The sequence below is a fragment of the Homo sapiens genome, chromosome 6, assembly GCF_000001405.40.
Source record: "Homo sapiens chromosome 6, GRCh38.p14 Primary Assembly".
NCBI lineage: Eukaryota > Metazoa > Chordata > Mammalia > Primates > Hominidae > Homo > Homo sapiens.
The window spans coordinates 37,291,009-37,312,227 of NC_000006.12; the positions used below are offsets into that span (position 1 = coordinate 37,291,009).

General features: G+C 41.5%; 1 protein-coding gene across 6 annotated transcripts in view, besides 1 other annotated feature; it reads left to right on the forward strand.

Moving 5' to 3' along the window:
- The window catches only part of TBC1D22B (TBC1 domain family member 22B), a 75,199-nt gene that overhangs the window by 33,237 nt on the left and 20,743 nt on the right, over positions 1–21,219 (forward strand). For 5 of the 6 annotated variants that reach the window (NR_130108.2, NM_017772.4, XM_011514738.4 and 2 more), the window contains exon 8: positions 235–349. The exons of the other annotated variant lie outside the window; for it this stretch is intronic. Coding sequence is in view for 4 of the 5 variants with exons in the window: in NM_017772.4 (NP_060242.2) it covers positions 235–349 (115 nt within the window). In the remaining variant the exon portion in view is untranslated. The remainder of the gene's footprint in view (positions 1–234; positions 350–21,219) is intronic. 6 annotated transcript variants of the gene reach the window in all.
- Positions 13,173–13,222: a silencer, noted in NCBI's record as "silent region_17138". NCBI's record gives its function as "represses an Ori minimal core promoter by ATAC-STARR-seq in GM12878 lymphoblastoid cells {active_cell/tissue: GM12878}" and the evidence as "EXISTENCE:reporter gene assay evidence [ECO:0000049][PMID:35858748]".

Below are 21,219 nucleotides of genomic sequence, written 5' to 3' on the forward strand. Positions count from 1 at the left end.
GTGACCAGATAATGAAAAAATGAATAAAGGGCAAGAAGTATCTACCCCTACTTGAAAACAATTAGTGTATTTAGAAACTTTTTGCATTTATATACTTCTTTATCCCACAGTATCTTAAAATTTTCCTAAAAATTCTACACCAACCTGGAGGTAAATTGTGAAGTAGGTAAACGGAGGGAAGGAGTGTGTGTCCCCGTGATTTAACACTCGTGTCTTTCTTTCTCATTTTCCTAGATCTTTGAAAGAATTCTATTTATTTGGGCCATCCGCCACCCTGCCAGTGGGTATGTCCAGGGAATTAATGACCTGGTCACTCCATTCTTTGTCGTCTTCCTCTCAGAATATGTGGGTAAGAAGCATTAGTACCAAGCTGAACAAGCTATTGCTCTTTCTTATCTGCCGTCTGTCTGTTTGTTTTTCCCAAGAGTCCAGCCAGTAGGTATGTCTTGCTAGAAAATAGAGAGTGCCTTTGGCATACACAGCTAAAACTACTTTTAACAGCGGTTGCTGCCTGGAATTTATCTCTTAAGATGGTCACAGATCTCACCTAAAAAGACCTGCTTTGTCACAAGAATGACCACATTGATATGTTTTGTGGTTTGATGGTTTATTTGAGATTATTTTAGGATTATTTTGAACTTGTTTCCGACATAGGCCCTCATCCATGTAAACTGGAATTTTAGATTGGACATCAAGCCTGCACACTCCAGTTCACTTGCTGTATCTTAGGAGCAGGATGTGGACGTGCAGAGGACAAAAGATTGTGGCACCAGAACACAGCACATACGGGAAGTGATGGAATGGGCCAAGGAGGACTCCAGGACCTTGATTTCTCCCCACTCCTTCTTCACCTCTCACCCCATTGGGTTCTTGTCACTTTGGAGAGAGATTAGATTTCATGGCAGCAGGTGGGTTTTCTTGTAGTCCCAGCCTCTGCCAGCCAGCCTAAGTTAAGCAGAGTCTTAAAGGAGTTGAGGATCCTGTGTTTCTCTGTTTTGGTTTCCTTAATCACTTGTGCTGAGAGAGTCACAGGAAAACCCATCTGCCATGGCCTGATGCTTTGTTTCCTTAGGTAAGGAGAACCTCATGTAGGAATAAGAACATCGAAAGGATCTTAGAAAGCCATTCATGTAATCCCTCATTTCACTGAGAAGTTGTGAGATTCTCTGTCTCCTTATTAGAGGCAGAGCTAGAACTAAAACCATTTTCTTTAGACTCTGAGGGTAGTGGATGATTGTGGTTTTTGGAGGAAGCCATTTGGAGGGGTTAGAGGGTTGGGTAATGAGAAATGGGTGAGAGTGGAACCCTTTGGAGAGGAGAGCATAAGAAATGTCTCACTTGGCCTATCCTATCCAGGTTTTGCGATGGGGCTCAAAGGGATGATGAGGTCTTTCATGAGGCGATCTCAGAAAATTAAGAATTAAGGCAACTAAGAAAGCTTTTTCTAGAGGACTTTTTACATATCCTCCCCACCCCCCCGCCTTAATAGATCAACTTTTGGAAGCAGCGTAATTCTGCTGTGTGTTGTATAATTTTATCAAGAGAGCATTTCAGCTGATCTGTTGTGATTTTTTAGTTGCTTCTTGCAGTAGTAATTTTCTAAAATAGTATTGAAGAATGAGCCTAGGATGGTATTAATCCATTCATTAATCTACATTTGAAGTCTAAATGCTGTCATGAAATCTTGCTAACAGTGTTATGCCAGTTAAAAATAATCCTCAGCAGCTGTAGTTCTGATTAGTTATTTAATTATCTTCTTAGCTACCATTTATATTTTGTTCCAAGCATGTCTTCACTTTCTTCAAGTGCCCATCCCATTACTACCTCAACCCCATCAAGCAGTGTGCCTTCCTGGGATAGATATGACTGCTTTCTGATCTTGGTACAGGCATATCTTGTTTTATTGAGCTTTGTAGTTACTGCATTTTTATAAATTGAAGATTTGTGGCAACCCTGTGTTGAGCAAGTCTATCAGTGCCATTTTTCAAAAGCGTGTGTTCACTTTGTGTCTCTGTGTCACATTCTGATAATTCTCACAGTATTTTTAACTTTTCATTATTATTATTATTATTATTATTTTTTTTTTTGAGACAGAGTCTCGCTCTGTCGCCCAGGCTGGAGTGCAGTGGCGTGATCTCGGCTCACAGCAACCTCCGCTGCCCGGGTTCAAGCGATTCTTGTGCCTCAGCCTCCCGAGTAGCTGGGACTACAGGCGCCTGCCACCACGCCCGGCTAATTTTTTGTGTTTTTAGTAGAGATGGGGTTTCACCATGTTAGCCAGGATGGTCTCGATCTCCTGACCTCGTGATCCGCCCACCTCGGCCTCCCAAAGTGCTGGGATTACAGGCATCAGCCACCGTGCCTGGCCCAACTTTACATTATTATTATATCTGTCATGGTCATCTGTGATCAGCAAACTTTGATGTTACTATTGTAATTATTTCAGGGTGCCATGAACTGCCTCCATCTAAGACAGTGAACTTAATTTATAAGTGTTGTGTGTGTTCTGATTGCTCCACCAGCTGGTCCTTCCTCATCTCCCTCTCCTTGGGCCTCCCTATTCCCTGAGACACAACAATATTCAAATTAGGTCAATTAATAACCCTGCAAAGGCTTGTAAGTGTTCAAGGGAAAGGAAGAGTTACATGTCTCTCACTTTAAATCAAAAGCTATAAATGATTAAGCTTAGTGAAGAAGGTAGGTCAAAAGCTGAGACAGACTGAAAGCTATGCCTCTTGTGCCAGCATGCCTAATTGTGAGCAAAGGAAAAGTTCTTGAAGTAAAATTAAAAGTGCTACTCCAGTGAACACACAAATAGTAAGAGATCAAAATAGCCTTATTGCTGATATGGATAGAAGAATGAACTAGCCACAACATTCCCTTAATCCAGAGCTTAACCCAGAGCAAGGCCTTAATTCTCTTCACTTTCATAAAGGCTAAGAGAGGTGAGAAAGCTACAGAAGAAAAGTTTGAAGCTAGGAGAAGTTGGTTTTCATGAAGTTTAGGGAAAGAAGCCATCTCCATAACATGAAAGTGCATGGTGAAGCGACAAGTGCTGATGTAGAAGCTGCAGCAAATTGTCCGGAAGATCTAGTTAAGATCATTGATGAAGGCGGTACACTAAACAGCAGATTTTCAATATAGACAAAACAGTCTTCTATTGGAAAAAGATGCTATCTGGGACTTTCTTTTTTAAATTTAATTATTTTTTTAAGAGACAGTGGCATGATCATAGCACAGTGTAACCTTATACTCTGGCTAAAGCAATCCTCCTGCCCCTCCGAGTAGCTAGAACTGCAGATGCACACCCACCACACCCGGCTAACTTTATAAAAACAATTTTTGTAGAGAGGGGGGTCTTGGTATGTTGCCCAGGCTGGTCTTGAATTCCTGGTTCAAGTGGTCCTCCCATCTTGGCCTCCTGAGTAGTTGGGATTACAAGTACGTAGTAGCCACTATGGCCAGCCTGCCATCTAGGACTTTCATAGCTAGAGGGGAGTAGTCAATGTCTGGCTTCAAAGGACAGGCTGACACTCTTGTTAGGGGCTAAGGCAGCTGGTGACTTTAAGTTGAAGCCCGTGCTCATTTACCATTCCAAAAACCCTAGGGACCTTAAGAATTATGCAAAATATACTTTGCCTGTGCTTTATAAGTGGAACAACAAAGCTTAGATGACAGCACATCTGTTTATGGCATGATTTATTGAATATTTTGAGGCCACTGTTGAGACCTCTTGCTCACAAAAAAAGATTTCTTTTAAAATATCACTGTCCATTGACAATGAACCTAGACACCTGAGAGCTCTGATGGAAATGTACAAGGAGATTAATGTTTTCATACCTGCCAACACAGCGTCTGTTCTGCAGCCTGTGGATCAAGAAGTCATTTCAACTTATGAGTCTTATTATTTAAGAAATATATTTAGTTATTTAGTAAAGCTATAGCTGACATACTTTCTTGAGATGGAATCTACTCCTGGTGAAGATGCTGTGAACATTTGAAATGACAGGAAAAGATTTAGAATATTACATAAACTCAATTAGTAAAGCAGTGGCAGGATTTGAGAAGGTTGACTCCAATTTTTAAAAAAATTTTATTTATTTATTTATTTGGAGACAGGGTCCCACTCTGTTGCCCAGGCTGGAGTGCAGTGGTGTAATCATAGCTCAAACTGTAACCTCAAACTCCTGGGCTCAAGTGATCCTACTGCCTCAGCCTTCTGAGTAGGTGGGACTACAGGTGTGCGCCACCATACCCAGCCAATTTTTTTATTTTTTATAGAGATGGGGTTTTCATTGTGTTGCCCAGGCTGGTCTTCAATTCCTGGCCTCAAGCAGTCCTTTTGCCTTGGCCTCCCAAAGTCCTGAGAGTATAGGCGTGAGCTACCACACCTGGCCAGATTGACTTCATTTTTTAATTTTTTATTTTTTTCAGATAAATAGAAAGTCTGGTTTTATTTTAAGCTTTACATTTTTGTCAAGTGCAAGGTCAGCCAGCTAAGATTTCCAATAATTACTGAAGTAATAACTTCTGCTGGCATGTCTTCTGAGTCTCCGTTTCCTCCACTGATATTCATCCAAATAATAAGAGAAACACAATTGCAGTTGAGTTTACTATTATCAATGGCACTGTCATCAAGGTTCTTACAGATCAAATAAGGTTCATTAGCTGAGATTTAATTCCTGGCTCCTCTCCAAATCCATCGATTCCCTGGTCTCTTCCCCAGCCAAAGTTCCACATGGCTGGGGAGGCCTCACAATCATAGCAGAAGACAAATGAGGAGCAGAGTCATGTCTTACATGGTGGCAGGCAAGAGACTAACTTCAATTTTGGAAGAAGTTCTACCGTGGGTAAAATGCTATCAAACAGAGTCACATGCTACAGAGAAATCTTTTGTGAAAGGAAAAATCAATCAATGTGGCCAACTTCATTACTGTCTTGTTTAAGAAATTGTCACAGCCAGCCCAGCCTTTAGCAACCATCACCCTGGTCAGTCAGCAGCCATCAACATTGAGGCAAGATCCTCCACTAGCAAAAAGATTATGACTTGCTGAAGGCTCAGATGATTGTTAGCACTTTTTAACAATAAAATATTATTTACTAATTAGTGGGGTGTGGTGGCATGCACCTGTAATTCCAGCTACTGGAGAGGCTGAAGCAGGAGAACTGCTTGAACCCAGGAGGCAGATGTTGCAGTGAGCTGAGATCGCACCACTGTACTCCTGCCTGGGCAACAGAGGGAGACTCCATCTCAAAAAATAATAATAAATAAAAAATAAAGTATTATTTATTTGTTGATTGATTGATTAATTGAGACAGGATCTCACTCTGTCACCCAGGCTGGATTGATTGATTGATCGAGACAGGGTCTCACTCTGTCACCCAGGCTGGAGTGCAGTGGCATGATCATGGCTCATTGTAGCCTCAATCTGCTGGCTCAAGTGATCCTCTCACCTCAGCGTCCTGGATAGTTGGGACTACAGGGGAGTGCCATCACATTTGGCTAATTTTTTGTATTTTTTTTAGAGATAAATTTTTGCCACATTGCCGAGGCTCGTCTTGAACCCCTGAGCTCAAGCATCCTCCTGCCTCAGCTTCCCAAAGTGTTGGGATTACAGGCATGAGCCACCATGCCTGATCCTAGTCTTACCACCTCTCTCCATTCTCTACTCCCTCACCATTGTGAATTATTTTGAAGCAAATCTCAATGTCAAACATCGTATCATTTTATGCATAAATTTTTTATATGTATCTCTGAAAAGTATATATGTATACACACACACATACACACACGTGCACACACATATATATATATTATAATTTTTTGGTTTTTTTTTTGAGACAGTCTCACTCTGTCGCCCAGACTGGAGTGCAGTGGCACGATCTCAGCTCACTGCAAGCTCCATCTCCCGGGCTCAAGCAATCCTCCCACTTCAGCCTCCCAAGTAGTTGGGACTATAGCCTTGCACCACCATGCCTGGCTAATTTTTGTATTTTTTGTAGAGACAGGGTTTTGCCATGTTGCCCAGGCTGGTCCTGAACTCCTGGACTCAAGCCATTTACCTGCTTCAGCCTCCTAAAGTGCTGGGATTACAGGCGTGAGCCACTGCACCTGGCCAAAGACATTTTTTAAAACACACAGCCATAATGCAATTATCACATCTAAAAAATAGTAATAGCTCCTTTATGTAATCTAATATACAGTCGTATTCATAAATCTATTCAACAGTTTGAATCAGGGTCCAAATCAGAGCTGCGTATTATAGTTGGTTGTCTTTCTTAATCCTCCAGCTCCCATCCATCTCTCTTTCCCTTAGGAGTTTGTAGCTGTAGCCCTTGTTTTTCTGGCCAAGCAGTAACATTACACTGGTTTTTAAAGTACTTTACTATTTGCAAAGAACTTGGACATACTGATTTCCTTTAGTAGGGCCCAATATCTCTTTAAGGTAGATGTATCAAGCCATTTTATAAGGTGAAATATCCAAGATTCAGGGGTCTAATGAGCTTCTTGAACTCAAATACCTGTGCTTGGCTTTAATACCTGTGCTCTCTATATGACTTGGTGGTGTCTCAACTTCAATCCTTGTCCTTGGACTTCTAATGGCTTCACCTATTATATTTAATGCTCTAAAGCAGGCAGTGCCTTTCTTATTGCTTATCTTTCTAAAAAAAATTGTAGTAGAAGTATGTTTATTAAAAAATCAAAACAACATTCTACTGTAAAGATATATGCACATGTATGTTTATTGCAACACTGTTCACAATAGTAAAGACTTGGAACCAACCCAAATGCCCATCAATGATAGACTGGATAAAGAAAATGTGACACATTTACACCATGGAATACTATGCAGCCATAAAAAAGAATGAGTTCATGTCCTTTGCAGGGACATGGATGAAGCTGGAAACCATCATTCTCAGCAAACTAACACAGGAACAGAAAACCAAATATCACATGTTCTCACTCATAAGTGGGAGTTGAACAATGAGAACACATGGACACAGGGAGGGGAACATCACACACCAGGGCCTGTTAGGGGTTGGGGGGCCCAGGGGAGAGATAGCATTAGGAGAAATACGTAATGTAAATGACAGGTTGATGGGTGCAGCAAACCACCATGGCATGTGTATACCTATGTAACAAACCTGCGCGTCCTACACATGTATCCCAGAACTTAAAGTATAATTTAAAAAAAAAATCAAAACAATATAGAAGTGTTAACAAACACACACCCACCTCCAAGATAACTACAGTTGTTAACCTCTTGTTGTGTGTTCTTCCAGACCTTTTCCTATGTATGGATGGAGCTGCATACATTGTTTTTCTTTACTGGGTTCAGAAAAATGAAATCAAGCTATTCATACTTTTCTGTATTTTGCTTGTGTTCATTTAAAAATATCATATAGCAAGCTTTCAAAGCCTGAACATATAGATCCACTTCATTATTTTCAGCAATTCCATTATTTCTATAACAAGACTTAACTATAGTTTAACTTTTCTTCTCTAGAAGAACATTTAAGTTGCCTACAGTTTTTTTTTTTTTTTTTTTTTTTTGAGACGGAGTCTTGCTCTGTTGCCCAAGCCGGAGTGCAGTGGCGCGATCTCGGCTCACTGCAAGCTCCGCCTCCCGGGTTCACGCCATTCTCTTGCCTCAGCCTCCCGATTAGCTGGGACTACAGGCGCCCGCCACCACGCACAGCTAATTTTTTGTATTTTTAGGAAAGACGGGGTTTCACCATGTTAGCCAGGATGGTCTCGATCTCCTGACCTCGTGATCCGCCCACCTCGGCCTCCCAGAGTGTTGGGATTACAGGCGTGAGCCACCGCGCCTGGCCTAAGTTGCCTACAGTTTTTAGCTGTTATAAGTAACATTGCAGTGAATATCCTTGTACATATTTTCTTGTGCACTTGTTAAAATATGTATTTCTCTGAAAGAGTCCTAGAAGTGAAATTACTAATCCTGAAAGCATGCCAAATAGGTACTACTGAATTATAATCCAAAAATGTTTATACCAGTTTGTACTCCAGCCATGAAATGTGTGGATGCACTTTTCCTCACCTCCTTAGCAAAACCTGTGTATGGATGAAGTCTAGTGTATTTCACCTGTCTAGCAGATAAACCATGGTTTGTGTTTCAGTTTTTGTTTCCACTTTCTGGTCAGTGATATTATGTATCTTTTCTCATCTGTATTATCATTTTCTTTTGTGGTCTGCTGGTTTAATCATTTACCTATTTTTTCTAATGGATTATTGACCTGTCTTGTTTTGTAAGAGCTTTTTGTATATTAGATAAATTTATCCTTCATCTGCTATGTGTTAAAAATATTAGGTTGAATCATATAAATTGTTAATACTCAACCTTTTTTTTACCGCCCAACATGGGAATTTTATGTAGTCCAACCTAATATTTTCCCCAGACCATTATTTATCTCTTAACTTTGCTACTTGTGTCTCTTTATGTAGAACTTAGTAATTTTTATACAGTCAGATCTGTCCATTCAACAAGTATTTATTAAGCTGTTACTATGTGCCAGGAGATAGACATGGGCCTGCCCTTGTGGCAACTCCTGTCTGGTAGGGAGGCTCACAAACAAGTCACCAGATAATTGCAAACTGTGATGAAGCCTCTGAGGGAAGCAGCTTCTCCTTTAGGGTTTTTGGATTTGGTATCTTGCTTAGGAACTCTTTCCTTCCCCACCTCAAGATTACAAAAATACTGGCCGGGCATGGTGGCTCACATCTGTAATCCCAGCACTTTGGGAGGCTGAGACAGGCGGATCACATGAGATCAGGAGTTCCAGACCAATTTGGTCAACATGGCAAAACCCGTCTCTACCAAAAATACACAAATTAGCCGGGCATGGTGGCGGCTGCCTGTTATCTCAGCTACTCGGGAGGCTGAGGCAGGAGAATCGCTTGAACCTGGGAGGCAGAGGTTGCAGTGAGCCGAGATCACGCCACTGCACTCTAGCCTGGGTGACAGAGTGAGACTCTGTCAAAAAAAAAAAAAAAAAAAGATTACAAAAATACTCTCCCGTGTTTTCTTCTAATACTCTTGTGGCTTTAACATTTAACTTTTTAAATTCCATTACTAATTTATTTTCTTGTATGATGAGAACTGAGATTTATAGTTACTATTCCAGTTGCATAGCTAATTATTTCGACACCATTTATAAATAATACACCATCTTTTCACCGATGTGAAATCTCTCTTCATAATATTACGTAATTTTAATTACATGGTTCTGCTGCTTTGTTGGTTTGATTTTATTTGTCTCCATTTCTATCCAGTACCACACAGCTTAGATTTTTTGAGTTTATAAAGTTGTTAAATTATTATTATTATATATTTTATTTATTTATTTATTTTGAGATGGAATCTCACTCTGTTGCCTAGGCTGGAGTGCAATGGCACAATCTTGGCTCACTGCAACTTTCATCTCCCAGGTTCAAGCCATCCTCCCACCTCAGCCTCCCTAGTAGCTGGAACTACAGGCATCGCCACTATGCCTGGCTAATTTTTGTATTTTTGAGTAGAGACGGGGTTTTACCACGCTGGCCAGGCTGGTCTGGAACTCCTGGCCTGAAGTCCTCCACCCACCTTGGCCTCCCAAAACACCGGGATTACAGGCATGAGCCACCGTGCCTGGCTATTATTTTTTATTAGTGGCTTTTTAAAAAAAATTCCCCCCACCCAGGGCCAGTCTCTTTCATTATCCTTTAAAAAAATACTGTCTTGGTTGTTCTTCCAGATGAACTTATTTTTCAATTTTGTTTATTTTTTATCTTTTTCTCATAGTGATAAGAGCACTTAACATGAGGTCTACCCTCTTAACAAATTTTGAGGTGCACAATACAGTATCGTAAGCTGTGGGCACATGGTTGTACAGCAGATCTCTAGAACATATTCATCTTGCCTACAGTTGTCAAATTTGTACCCTCTGAACGTCAACCCTCTGTTTCCCCTTCCCCCTATCCCCTGGCAGCCACTACTCTGTCTGTTTCTATGTTTGTGACTATTTTAGATACCTCATGTAAGTGGATTCATATAGCATGTGTCCTTTTGTAAACCAACTTTTACTTTGCATAATGTCTTCCAGGTTCATCTGGTTGAACTTGAGAATCAACTTTTGTCAAATGTAGGAGTGGGGAACCTTTTATTAATACAATTTTTATTGGAGTTGCAATAAATTTATAAATTACAATTTTTGTGGGTTTTTTGGTAACAGCTTTATTGGGATGTACTTCGTGTGCCAGACAATTTACTCATTTAAAGGGTACAGTGAATAATTTTTAGTATATTTACAGAGTTGTATGTCACCACAATCAATTTTAAAACATTTTATCACCCCAGAAAGAACACTCGTACTCTTTAGCCATCACCCCTAAGCCTCCCATCCCGTGTATCCCTGGGCAACCACTAATCTTCTGTATCTAGGGATTTCCCTATCCTGGACATTTTATATAAATGGAACCACACAGTATGGAGTCTTTTGTGTCTGGCTTCTTTTACTTAGCGTAATGTCTTCAAGATTCATTCATGTTGTAGCACGTGTCAGTACTTCATTCTTTTCTATGGCCAAATATTCTATTATATGGATGTACTACATCTTATTTACCTGTCAGTTGCTGGATATAAATTAAATTCCAAAGAAATACAGACTTCTCCCCACCCTCACACCTTTCTTGAACAGAGATAGATACAACATTGTGGCCAGCAAGCATCATTTTTTTGTCTGGGCAATGATGCTTCTCTTCTCTACTTCTCTCATGTTGGCGTATCTGGATGAGGCAGCTGCTGTCAAAGGTTTTTTGCTATGGCCCTCCTGGTGTGACTCTCCCTACTGTAGGAAGCCTCAAGTATCTTTCTCATGGAACAGGCCAGCAGTTGCCCTCATTATCCTGGGTAGGTCTCTCCAGGCATCCTTACCCCACTGCCCCATCTCACTGAATCATAGCATAGGGGATCTGCCCTAGTGGAGCCGTGGGGTCCACATGCCACTGGGACATTATTTGGCTTCTCTCATATCTCTTCCCCTACCTATTCTCTACCACCTCTATCACTTTTAAAAATTAGTACCTGAGCCTGCTTCATGCTTTATGTTATGTTTGTTGTAAAGTAGTTGGAAACAGTGAGTTCCAGTGATTCCCCTGTGAGTTGATAGAGAAGTTGTCTATAGCTCTAGCCTTGCCCCCAAGCAGCTTCTTTATCTGCTGAAGCCAGCTGCTCCTGTAAAAGTGGGTCCTCTGCAGATAAGCCAGCTGTGTCTGGGTCTAGTGGTGACAGTGCTGCAGGTGGGGAGGTCACCCCTGGGGAGATAAAGTCTCTGGAATCTTATCTCTGAGACTGTGGTATAATTCTAAACTCTTTCCTCCAAGAGCTTTTAGGCTTAGGCAATATTAGTCTAGCTCTGAACTACTGAGGTCCAATATAATTGACCATGCAGCCATCATCAAAATAAACTGCTTAACAGGAACAACAGAAGTGATTCATATAAGGAAGTCATGGAGAAGAGCAGGACTTATGATGTTTCCTATTTTCAAAAGAAGAGTGGTGTCTGATGATATTTTTAGGTACAAAATGCAACACCAATTATCAAGTAACCTTTTCTCTTTTCCTTTGCATAAAACAGCACAGTAGGATTTTCACCGTAGATTTTACCTGGAAGCATGACAGCAGTGGAACTCTCGGAAAGGAAGTCCTCCGCAGACCTCTGACTTGTGTCCGGTTCCCTACATGGCATTTCCACCTGATTATGTCATAGATGATCACTTAGGATTAGCTAGGCTGCACATAACAGGGAACCCAAGTAACAGTTCCTTAAGTAAGATAGAAAAGCTTATTTCTCTCACATTAAAAGTCCAGAGGTGAGTGATCTGGGGCTTATCTGCTGCTCCAAAATATCAGAGATCCAGGTTGCTCTCTCTCATTCTGCAGTCTTCAGCATGTGGTTTCTTTCTCATGATCCAAGAGCTGTTTGTGCTCCAGCCATCACATCAATATTCCAGCCAGTATGGAGAAGGAAAGGAAGCAAGGCATACTTCTTCTGTTTAAGAACATTTCTGAAAGCTGTGCATGACTCTGGGGCTTGATTCTCTTTTGTTTGAACTTAATCTCGTGGGCACACCTAGCAGCAAGTGAGGCTGAGAAACAGTCTGTCTTAGGTGGCCAATACACTTAGGGGTCCTGTCACCAAGGAGGAAGAAGGGAACAGTTATTTTTAGGCAATCTTTGCTATTCTTAGGCTCCTCAGACTCGGTGTTTGGCTCTTCTCCTTCCCTTACCCAGGCACCCTTTTCTCTTAGTTGGCAGTATTTCCTGTCACTTAAGTCAGAAATGCTAAGAATTGTTCATGATTCTGTTTCCTTACTCTTCCATATCCAATCATTTACAAAGCTCTGGTGATTTTACGTCCTAAATGTTTCTTAATCTGCTTCTTCTTCATTCTCACTATGCACGCCCTAGGTCAGGCCTGGATTGCTGAACCAGCCAAGCATGTTTTCTCACCCCCGGTTTTATCTCCTTCAAACCCATCTTGCACACCATTCAAACAGAGACTCGCCCACAGAACTCCTCTGACAAAAATCCTTCCTTAGCATTCCATCACCTATAGGTTAAATGTCCAGGTTTTCTAACTTGGCATGTAAAGGCCCTGTGACCTGCTCCCTGCTTCGCCCCTTAAACTCAACAATCCAAAATGGACATTGTAAATGTAAAGCCTTGTCCTGCACCACCTCTTTATCTCCTGAGCTAATCTTTGTGCACCCTTTAAGACTCCCCTTCCTCCTAGAAGCCTTCCCTGGGGTCCCCCTGACCCCCGGCATCTAATAGTGCTATTTCTGTCACTCTGTAGATTTCTCCTGTGGCACTTTACCTCGCTAGTTGTTTGTGTTTCCCTCCTACTCTCTGCCACCAGACTTTCTGATTCTTTGAGGCCAAAGAGTATTTTAAACATCTTCATATCCCCAGTACCTTCATTTTGGTGTCCAAAATAGGCATTCCACACATGTCCAGATGAATGAGAGAATGAAAATTCCATAACTGCAGAATACTCAGAAATTAGTACAGCTTCACTAGGCTTGGCCACTGGAGGGCAGTGAGTTACACTTTTCTGATACTGTGCTGAATTAGCCGAAAGTTCTCTCTCCCCTAAGGGATGGAGGTGGAGCACCACCACTTAGTCAACAAGTCTTTGATGAGCACCCACATGTGCAGGGCACTGCTCTAGGCACTGGGGTTTATGACCATAAACGAAGTAGACAAAAACCCTGCCTTCTACTTCTAGGTATTTATTCAAGGAAAATGAAGGCTTATAGCCCCAAAAGACATGCACAAACATATTCACAGCAACTTTATACAGACATAAAATGAAACAACCCTAATATCAGCTAATATGAGAACAGATATCCATACCACAGAGCAGTACTCAGCAATAAATGAGAACGTACTATTAGTAGTACAGCAACATGGAAGAGTCTCAGAAACCATGAAACAGAATGAAAGAAGCCAGATACCAAAAAATATATATATTGTATGATTCACATTATATGGAGTTAAAAATAGGTAAAGCTTATCTATGGCGATAGAAATGAGAGCAAAGTTTACCTATGGTGGGAGGTGGGCTGAGAATGAGCATAAGGAAACATTTCCGGGGTGATGGAAATATTCTCTATTTGGATGGGGGCATTTTTTTTTTAAACCATAGACATAAACATGTGTCAAGACTCATAGAACTGTGCACATATGTGCAGTTTACTATGCGTAATTCTACTTTTTTAAAAAAATCGCTTTCTTAGTTTAATTTCTGGTGGGCAGAAACAGACAATCAACTGAAAAAACAGATATTTGTAGGATTGAGATAAGTGCTATGGATAGAAACAAAGCAAGAAAGAGGGACAGGGATGTGCCATGCTGGCAAGTGTGGGAGCAGGAGGCAGGTTTTAAACCGGGTGGTGAGCCGCCTTCACACTGAGGAGATGACATTTGAGCAGAGCCCTGAAGGAGGTAAGGGAGGGAGCTGTGCAGTTAATTTTTGATAGTCAACACTCACATTTTCAAAGAAAAGGTAGTGTGGATCCTGTTGTCTTGTCTTGCTCCTGGGCTGTTGTGGATTGTGCTCGCCCCCCACGCTCAGTCCTGGGAGGCGGCATCCTCCATCTTACATCTGACTCTTTGCATCAGCTTTGCCCAGTCTGTTCCTCCCTGTCTGGCTAGGCCAAAGATGAAACTGGACAAACTTTATTATTGTCTCAAGAGGCCATTCCTTTTCTGCTTTTTAAAATGTGAACTTCATATTAAATCATACATTTAGAAAAGTGCATCTGTCATACATGCACAGTTCGATGAATTTCCCCAAAATAACCAGCACTCACAGCAAGACGTGGAACGTTTCTAGGACTTCAGAAGTCCCTTTGTGTTCCCTCCTAGTCCCTACCCCGTCCTCTCCTCCCCTGCCCCTACAAGGGTAACTACTTTACTGATTTCTAACACCTAGATTAGTTTTGCCTATTTCCTTTTTTTTTTTTGAGACGGAGTGTTGCTCTGTCCCCCAGGCTGGAGTGCAGTGGCGCAATCTTGGCTCACTGCAAGCTCTGCCTCCCGGGTTCACGCCATTCTCCTGCCTCAGCCTCCCGAGTAGCTGGGACTACAGGCGCCCGCCACCACGCCTGGCTATTATTTTTTTGTATTTTTAGTAGAGACAAGGTTTCACTGTGTTAGCCAGAATGGTCTCGATCTCCTGACCTCGTGATCCACCCGTCTCGGCCTCCCAAAGTGCTAGGATTACAGGCGTCAGCCACCGCGCCCGGTCAGTTTTGCCTATTTCTAAGCTTTATCTAATTTGAATCATATAGTAAGAATTTTCCACTTTAATGTTGTTAGTTTGGAGGGAATTGGTGGGGAGTGGGCTTGATGCTGAGTTTTTAGCAGCCACCCTATTTGGGACTCAAGCTGCCTCCTGGCCCCATCTTCGTAGATGAAGCAGCCTCCCATGTGATAGGCAGCTGAGAAATATTGAGGCTCTTGCCAGCAGTGTGTGGAGATAGCCCAGTCAGGATGCTGAGCTGCTTTCAGTGACACTTGAAGACAGTGTGTGCGTTTGGTGGGACAGTGGTGCGTCCAGTGCTGGATTTCCTGTCATTGCAGGAGGTGAGCTCTCCAAGGGCAAGTTGTGGCTTGTCATTTCTGAGACTATAAGACCTAGCCTAGTCCTCTACCCTGGCAGTGAGCTGAGCAGGATGTGCACATTTGCTCTCTGTCCCTCATCTGACCCCAGGGATAAGTGAGAAATCGTAACAGAGGAGATGTTGAGGTAGCCAACATATTGAAGATATTTGAGCCTACATGAGTAGCCTCTGTGAACAGCTGACACTGGCAGTGGGGACCCTGAGCCTCCCAGAGCCTGTTCACATCCACAGCGTCTTAGTAACATGCTGCCCATCTCTGTGAGTGGTCTTTGGGCAGGTCCTAGAAGATTAAGTATGTGCTGGACCTTGCCTTTCCTTTGCCTCCTCTTCCTTTACTCCATAACCCAAATACTCAGAGTTTGGGCTCATATAATCTGGGATCCTATAGCCAATGTCAGGAGGCTGACTTAACCAGCAGCAACTAATGTTTGCTAAATAAAAGTAAAAGTAATACAGCAACCTAAGGAAAATAGTGAAAACTTGGTGGTATGTTGGTTTTTAAAATTAATTTTAACCAGGGCATCATGATACATGTATACCCATGCTATCCTATACTGAGCAGCCAGAGTTCATGTATTATTCTGAGTTAATAGTCACCACCCTGATTGACAGGCACAGTGTCAGAATGCTGTATGGTCAGCTAAGCAGCATCTTCAAAATAGCACATCTCCTCTGACAGTCAGAAAAACATGGGCCTTGTGAAACAGAACCACCTCCCAGTGGGTCTCTTCTCTGTGGGAATCTCGAAATAAGTCTTTCCTCCAACCATCTCATTGGAGTGGCCATCTCTCTCAGAGACCAGCTCCCCCTGTCTTTGTCAGGTGGTTTGGCTTTCCCAGGTTTAGCGAGGGGCCTCTCCACCCTCTCTACACTTACAGGTTTGCAGTGCTATTATTGTCTCAGCTGCTGCCATCAGGTACTTTCCTGAAAATGCCAGATGCATAACACCCAACAATACGTTTATATATAGCGCTTGAACCAGTTCAAAATTATTACATAGAAGTGATAAGATGAATTCTTGACAGTTTTCTTAAAACTGCTTTTTTCTGAATGAAATATTTGTTGCTGTTTTAAGAGGTTCTTTAGATATGGTCAAAAATATTTTTTTATTTTTCTCAGTCAGTTTACTTTTGTTATGAGAAATTTTTTTTTCTTTTTTTTCTTTTTTTTTTTTTGAGACAGAGTCTTCTCGCTCTGTCGCCCAGGCTGGAGTGCAGTGGCATAATCTCGGCTCACTGCAATTTCTGCCTCCCGGGTTCAAGCAATTCTCCTGCCTCAGCCTCCTGAGTAGCTGGGACTACAGGCACCTGCCACCATGCCCGGCTAATTTTTATATTTTTGGTAGAGACGGGGTTTCACCATATTGGCCAGGCTAGTCTCAAACTCCTGACCTTGTGATCCACCTGCCTGGAGCTCCCAAAGTGCTGGGATTACAGGCGTGAGCCACAGCGCCTGGCCTGTTATCAGAAAATATTACGCAAGGTATTCTTATGAGTCCGGTTCAACAACAACAACAACAAGGACCCGAATCAGGTAAACCAGAGGCTTTGGAAAATAGAAAGGCCATCTGCAGCTGAGGCGTTGGAGCCTCTTGGTCCGGCCGGTCAGGTTGAATCATGCTGGCCCACCAGATCACATCTAGAAATTGTCCTGAGATCACAGATGGTTCCTGGGAAATGCCTAGAGCAGTGAATAGACAAGTTACTCTTGTTGGTGTTGGTAAAACCAGTTCTTCCTAAAACTGTCAGGGAATTTTTGAGGCATATATTAAGCTGATTTTTTAGGACTGGGGCTCAGAGTTCTTGGAAAAATAAACAGTTGACTGGAGCCATCACTCAAGTACATTTCATCAGTTAATAAATGGGCATGTTCTTTGTAAGGCCCAGAGTGGCCAATTTGATTTTTATAAAGAGCTTTTGAGCTTCCTCCTTGTGGATGCCTTGCCTTTTAAAATAGCCATAAAATATCCCTTAAAATCTTGTTTCCTCCCATCTGAGTCCTGCTGCTGTATGCTCTTGTCATGACAACCAGAGACGCTGCCCTCACTCGAGACTGCACTGCTGGCATGGTTTCCCATTTCAGCTTCAATTATGTGTTGAATTTCCTCAAGTGGACGCTTAATGATCCTTCTGAACAGATTGTTTATGCTGAATGAAGCCCTTCAGAGAGCATTTGCTCCTCCCTTTCTCCACTGCTTTTTGCTGGTGCACTCAGCTCACAGTTTTTGACTAAATGTTTGAATTTTATCCACCCAGCAGGCAGAAAAATAGAACTAAACCCTCCCTCCCACTCTCTGAAGTGCTGGGGAACTATCTCACTGGCTGTGAAAACAAAGGGCTAATGGGCAAACAACAGCCCCCATTTCAGTGCCCCAAAATAGGGTTCAGCACCTTGTCTGTTGTTCCCTTTGCTCCCTAGATGGCTAACAGTTTGGAGTGGGTACAGTTACCGAGCATGGCACCTTACCAACTTATGACCTCATGTTGTTAGTCAGGTTTTCCTCCTTAAGACGAAAGACAGAAGTAGAGAACTTTTAAAATTGACTTATTTTTAAGGTATATTTTGGGATGGCAGGTATATCAGTTAGGATTAAGTTTGGCTGTGAATAATAGAGATCCAGAATTTCAGTGCTGGCTGGGCATGGAGGCTCACACCTGTAATCTCAGCACTTTGGGAGGCCAAGGTGGGAGTTCACTTAAGCCCAGGAGTTCAAGACCAGCCTAGGCAATATAGTAAGATCCTGTCTCTTAAAAAAAAAAAAAAAAAGACAGTGCCAGTGGCTTAAATAAGGTAGAAGTGTATTTATTCCTTTGGTAACAATAATAATTATGCCAGCTAACTTTTATGTAATGCTTACTTTATGCCAGGCACTGTTGTTAGCACTTTTCATATATTAACTAACTTATTTAATCCATAAAATATCCTATGACACTAGTACTGATATTACCACTTTAACAGATGAGGAATTGAGACACAGAAAGTAAAGCCATTTGTGCAAAGTCACATAGCTACTGAATGACAGAGCCAGGACTTGAGCTCTGCAGCCTGGCTTCAGAGTCTGCTCTTAGCCATGTGCTTGCTATTCTGTCTGACAAAAAAGCCACAGGTCACTAGGGCTGGTGTGACAGCGATGCTCCTGTTGCCCTCAGGAACTGGGGCTCTTGCTCTCTTTTTACCCTGCCATGTGTGGTTTCCAATTATGCTTGTATTTGCATTGCAATGTTCTGGAATCCTAAAATGCCCAAGTTGGAAAAGACCTTTCAATTTATTATGGAGCTCTGGATCTTCCTTTAGGAAATGTGTAGGAGGAGTTGGGGTGGTTTTAGTCTCCATCCTTCCCTGTGGGTTTCACTTTTTTCCAACGACCCTATTTTCATAAAGAGGGAGCTGCTGCCTAGGATGGATTAGAAGTCATGCTCATGAATAGGGAAAGGGCTCTCCTCCCTTGTGCACCGTTGTGAGGCTAGTCCTGGAGAAGAGTCTGCCTGAGCCTGTGACCCAGAGCAGTTCTCAAAGGAAACAGTTCCTTGGGGCATTGTTTATGGTCATGAGAGTTGGAGGCAACCTGGGTATATCCATCCCTGAGGAAATGGATAAAGTGTGATGGAGGCGCACCATGCAGCAATGAACTAGAGGTATGTACAGGAACACGGACCTTAGAAATGTAACATGAAGCAAAAAGTCAAAGGAAGATCCTAAGCCGGGTTTTACAGCCCAATATCATTTAACTAAATTAATTAATTATATAATATTAAAATATAATATAAAACATAATATAAAATATTAGGTAAAATAATTTAAACTGTTAATATATAAATATATATTATAAAATATAAAATTATATTTACATAATTTTATTTTTATATAATGTATAATTATATTTAAATATATGTGAAATATAATTTTATATATAATTATATTTTAATATAGCTTTATATATGTAAGTATATCTATATAGATATACTTACATATATTTTAAAATATGTATGTATACTACCATATATAAGAAAACAAATATGTATATATACTTACATATATAAAAAAACAAAAAAACCTACATAGTAAATGTTTAAGTTAGGATACAATAAAAGAATAAAAGGAATAATAGGAATAAAAGAAAAATAATAAAAAGAATAATAGGAATAAAAGAAAAATGATATTTCTTGGAAGAATTTTTAAATATGATTTCTCGGCTGGGCACGGTAGCTCACGCCTGTAATCCTACCACTTTGAGAGGCCAAGGCAGGCAGATCACCTGAGGTCAGGAGTTTGAGACAAGCCTGGCCAACATGGTGAAACCCCGTCGCTACTGAAAATACAAAATTAGCCAGGCATAGTGGCTCATGCCTGTGATCCCAGCTTCTTGGGAGGCTGAGGCAGGAGAATTGCTTGAACCTGGAAGGTAGAGGCTGCAGTGAGCTGAGATCGTGCCATTGCACTCCAGCCTGGGAGATAAGAGCAAAACTCTGTCTCAAAATAAAAATAAAATGTGATTTCTCAAATTGATCTTTATATGCTATCTAGATTTTTAGTTTCTGCAAGCTTAGTGTTGTTTTACAAAGTCTTCTTTATTCTTTTTTGGTGATAAAAGGCAGATGTAGTCAATTGTGGCTCTTTTTTCCTAAAATACTGTGCATATAAAATGACTATAAAAATTATGCTTATTATAGAAATTTTGAAAAGTCCAATAAAGCTTTAAGAAAATAAAATCCTTCATTCGTACCACCTGGGGAATAAATACTGTAAACCTTGAGATGTTTTGTCTTTCCTCTGTGCTTATATAAACACATAAATATTGTATGCACAGTAAGAAAGTATGCCATAAATAATTTTTCCCCTCTTTTCTCCTTAATATTGTGGCATGCTTTTTTATGTCGTTACAAGTTCCTCATAAATTCCATCTAAGATAGCTATATTGTGCCTACTGTGTGCCAGGCACTATATTTAGCACTTTATATATATTAACTGCAGCTGGCCTTCAAGTTGGATTTTTTTTTTTTTAGGTCATTCCTAGAGTCATGGCTTTTCTGATAAAGCACCCCACCCTTCTCAAGAGGGGTTTTTTTTTTTTCAGCCTTGATGTTCATTTAAAAATGTCTCTTTAAACGGGTGAGAATCCGAGAGTTGTTACATGTTTTCTCAAGGAGGTTCAGATATAGGTCTTAGTAACAATGCTTAGAAATGAAAAGGCTGGGGTCAGGTGCAGTGGCTCACACCTGTAATCCTAGCACTTTGTGAGGCTGAGGTGTGAGGATCACTTGAGTCCAGGAGTTTGAGACCAGCCTGGGAAACATGGTAAAAACTCATCTCTACAAAAACGACAAAAAATTAGCTGGGCGTGGTTGTATGCACCTGTAGTCCCAGCTACTTGGGAGGCTGAGGTGGGAGGATCATCTGAGCCTGGGAAGTCAAGGCTGCAGTGAGCCGAGATCGTGCCACTGCACTCCAGCCTGGGCGTCAGAGTGAGACCCTGTCTCAAAAAAAAGAAAGGAAGAAAGAAAAAAAAAGGCTAGATTCTGAATACATTTTGTCTAATGCCTGTGTCTCTGTAGCACAAGGGATTGCAGTGAACATCTGTTTCCAGAATAGGGGTTGTGGGTCTGAGGAGAAAAGCTGTCTGGTAGAGAACTCAAGGGCTTGATTGTTTCTGTGTGTGGCCTCTGACAGGCATACACAGGGGCCTTTCTTGTTGGGCAAACACAGCACTTCTTACTACTTCACCTCTCTGTGACAGGAAGTGGGAGTTAAACATGGGCTAGGAAGGACACATCACATAGCCTTTTCCTTCTTCAGGTTTCTGGAAGGCTGCTTATGTTTTCCTCACTTGCATCTCAGACGAGACAGATTCTCACTCCTGTTACTCAGTGGGAGGTTTCCATGAGAAGCTAACAGATAGTCCTTTCCAAAGAGGTCTCGTGGCTAGATAAACTTGGGAAATGCTGGATAAACAAAGTTAAGCAGATTTACTTAATGCAGAATTTCTGTTAACTTCTCAAACCCTTTTGTGTGCTGTGATCTTTGCTAATCTCCAA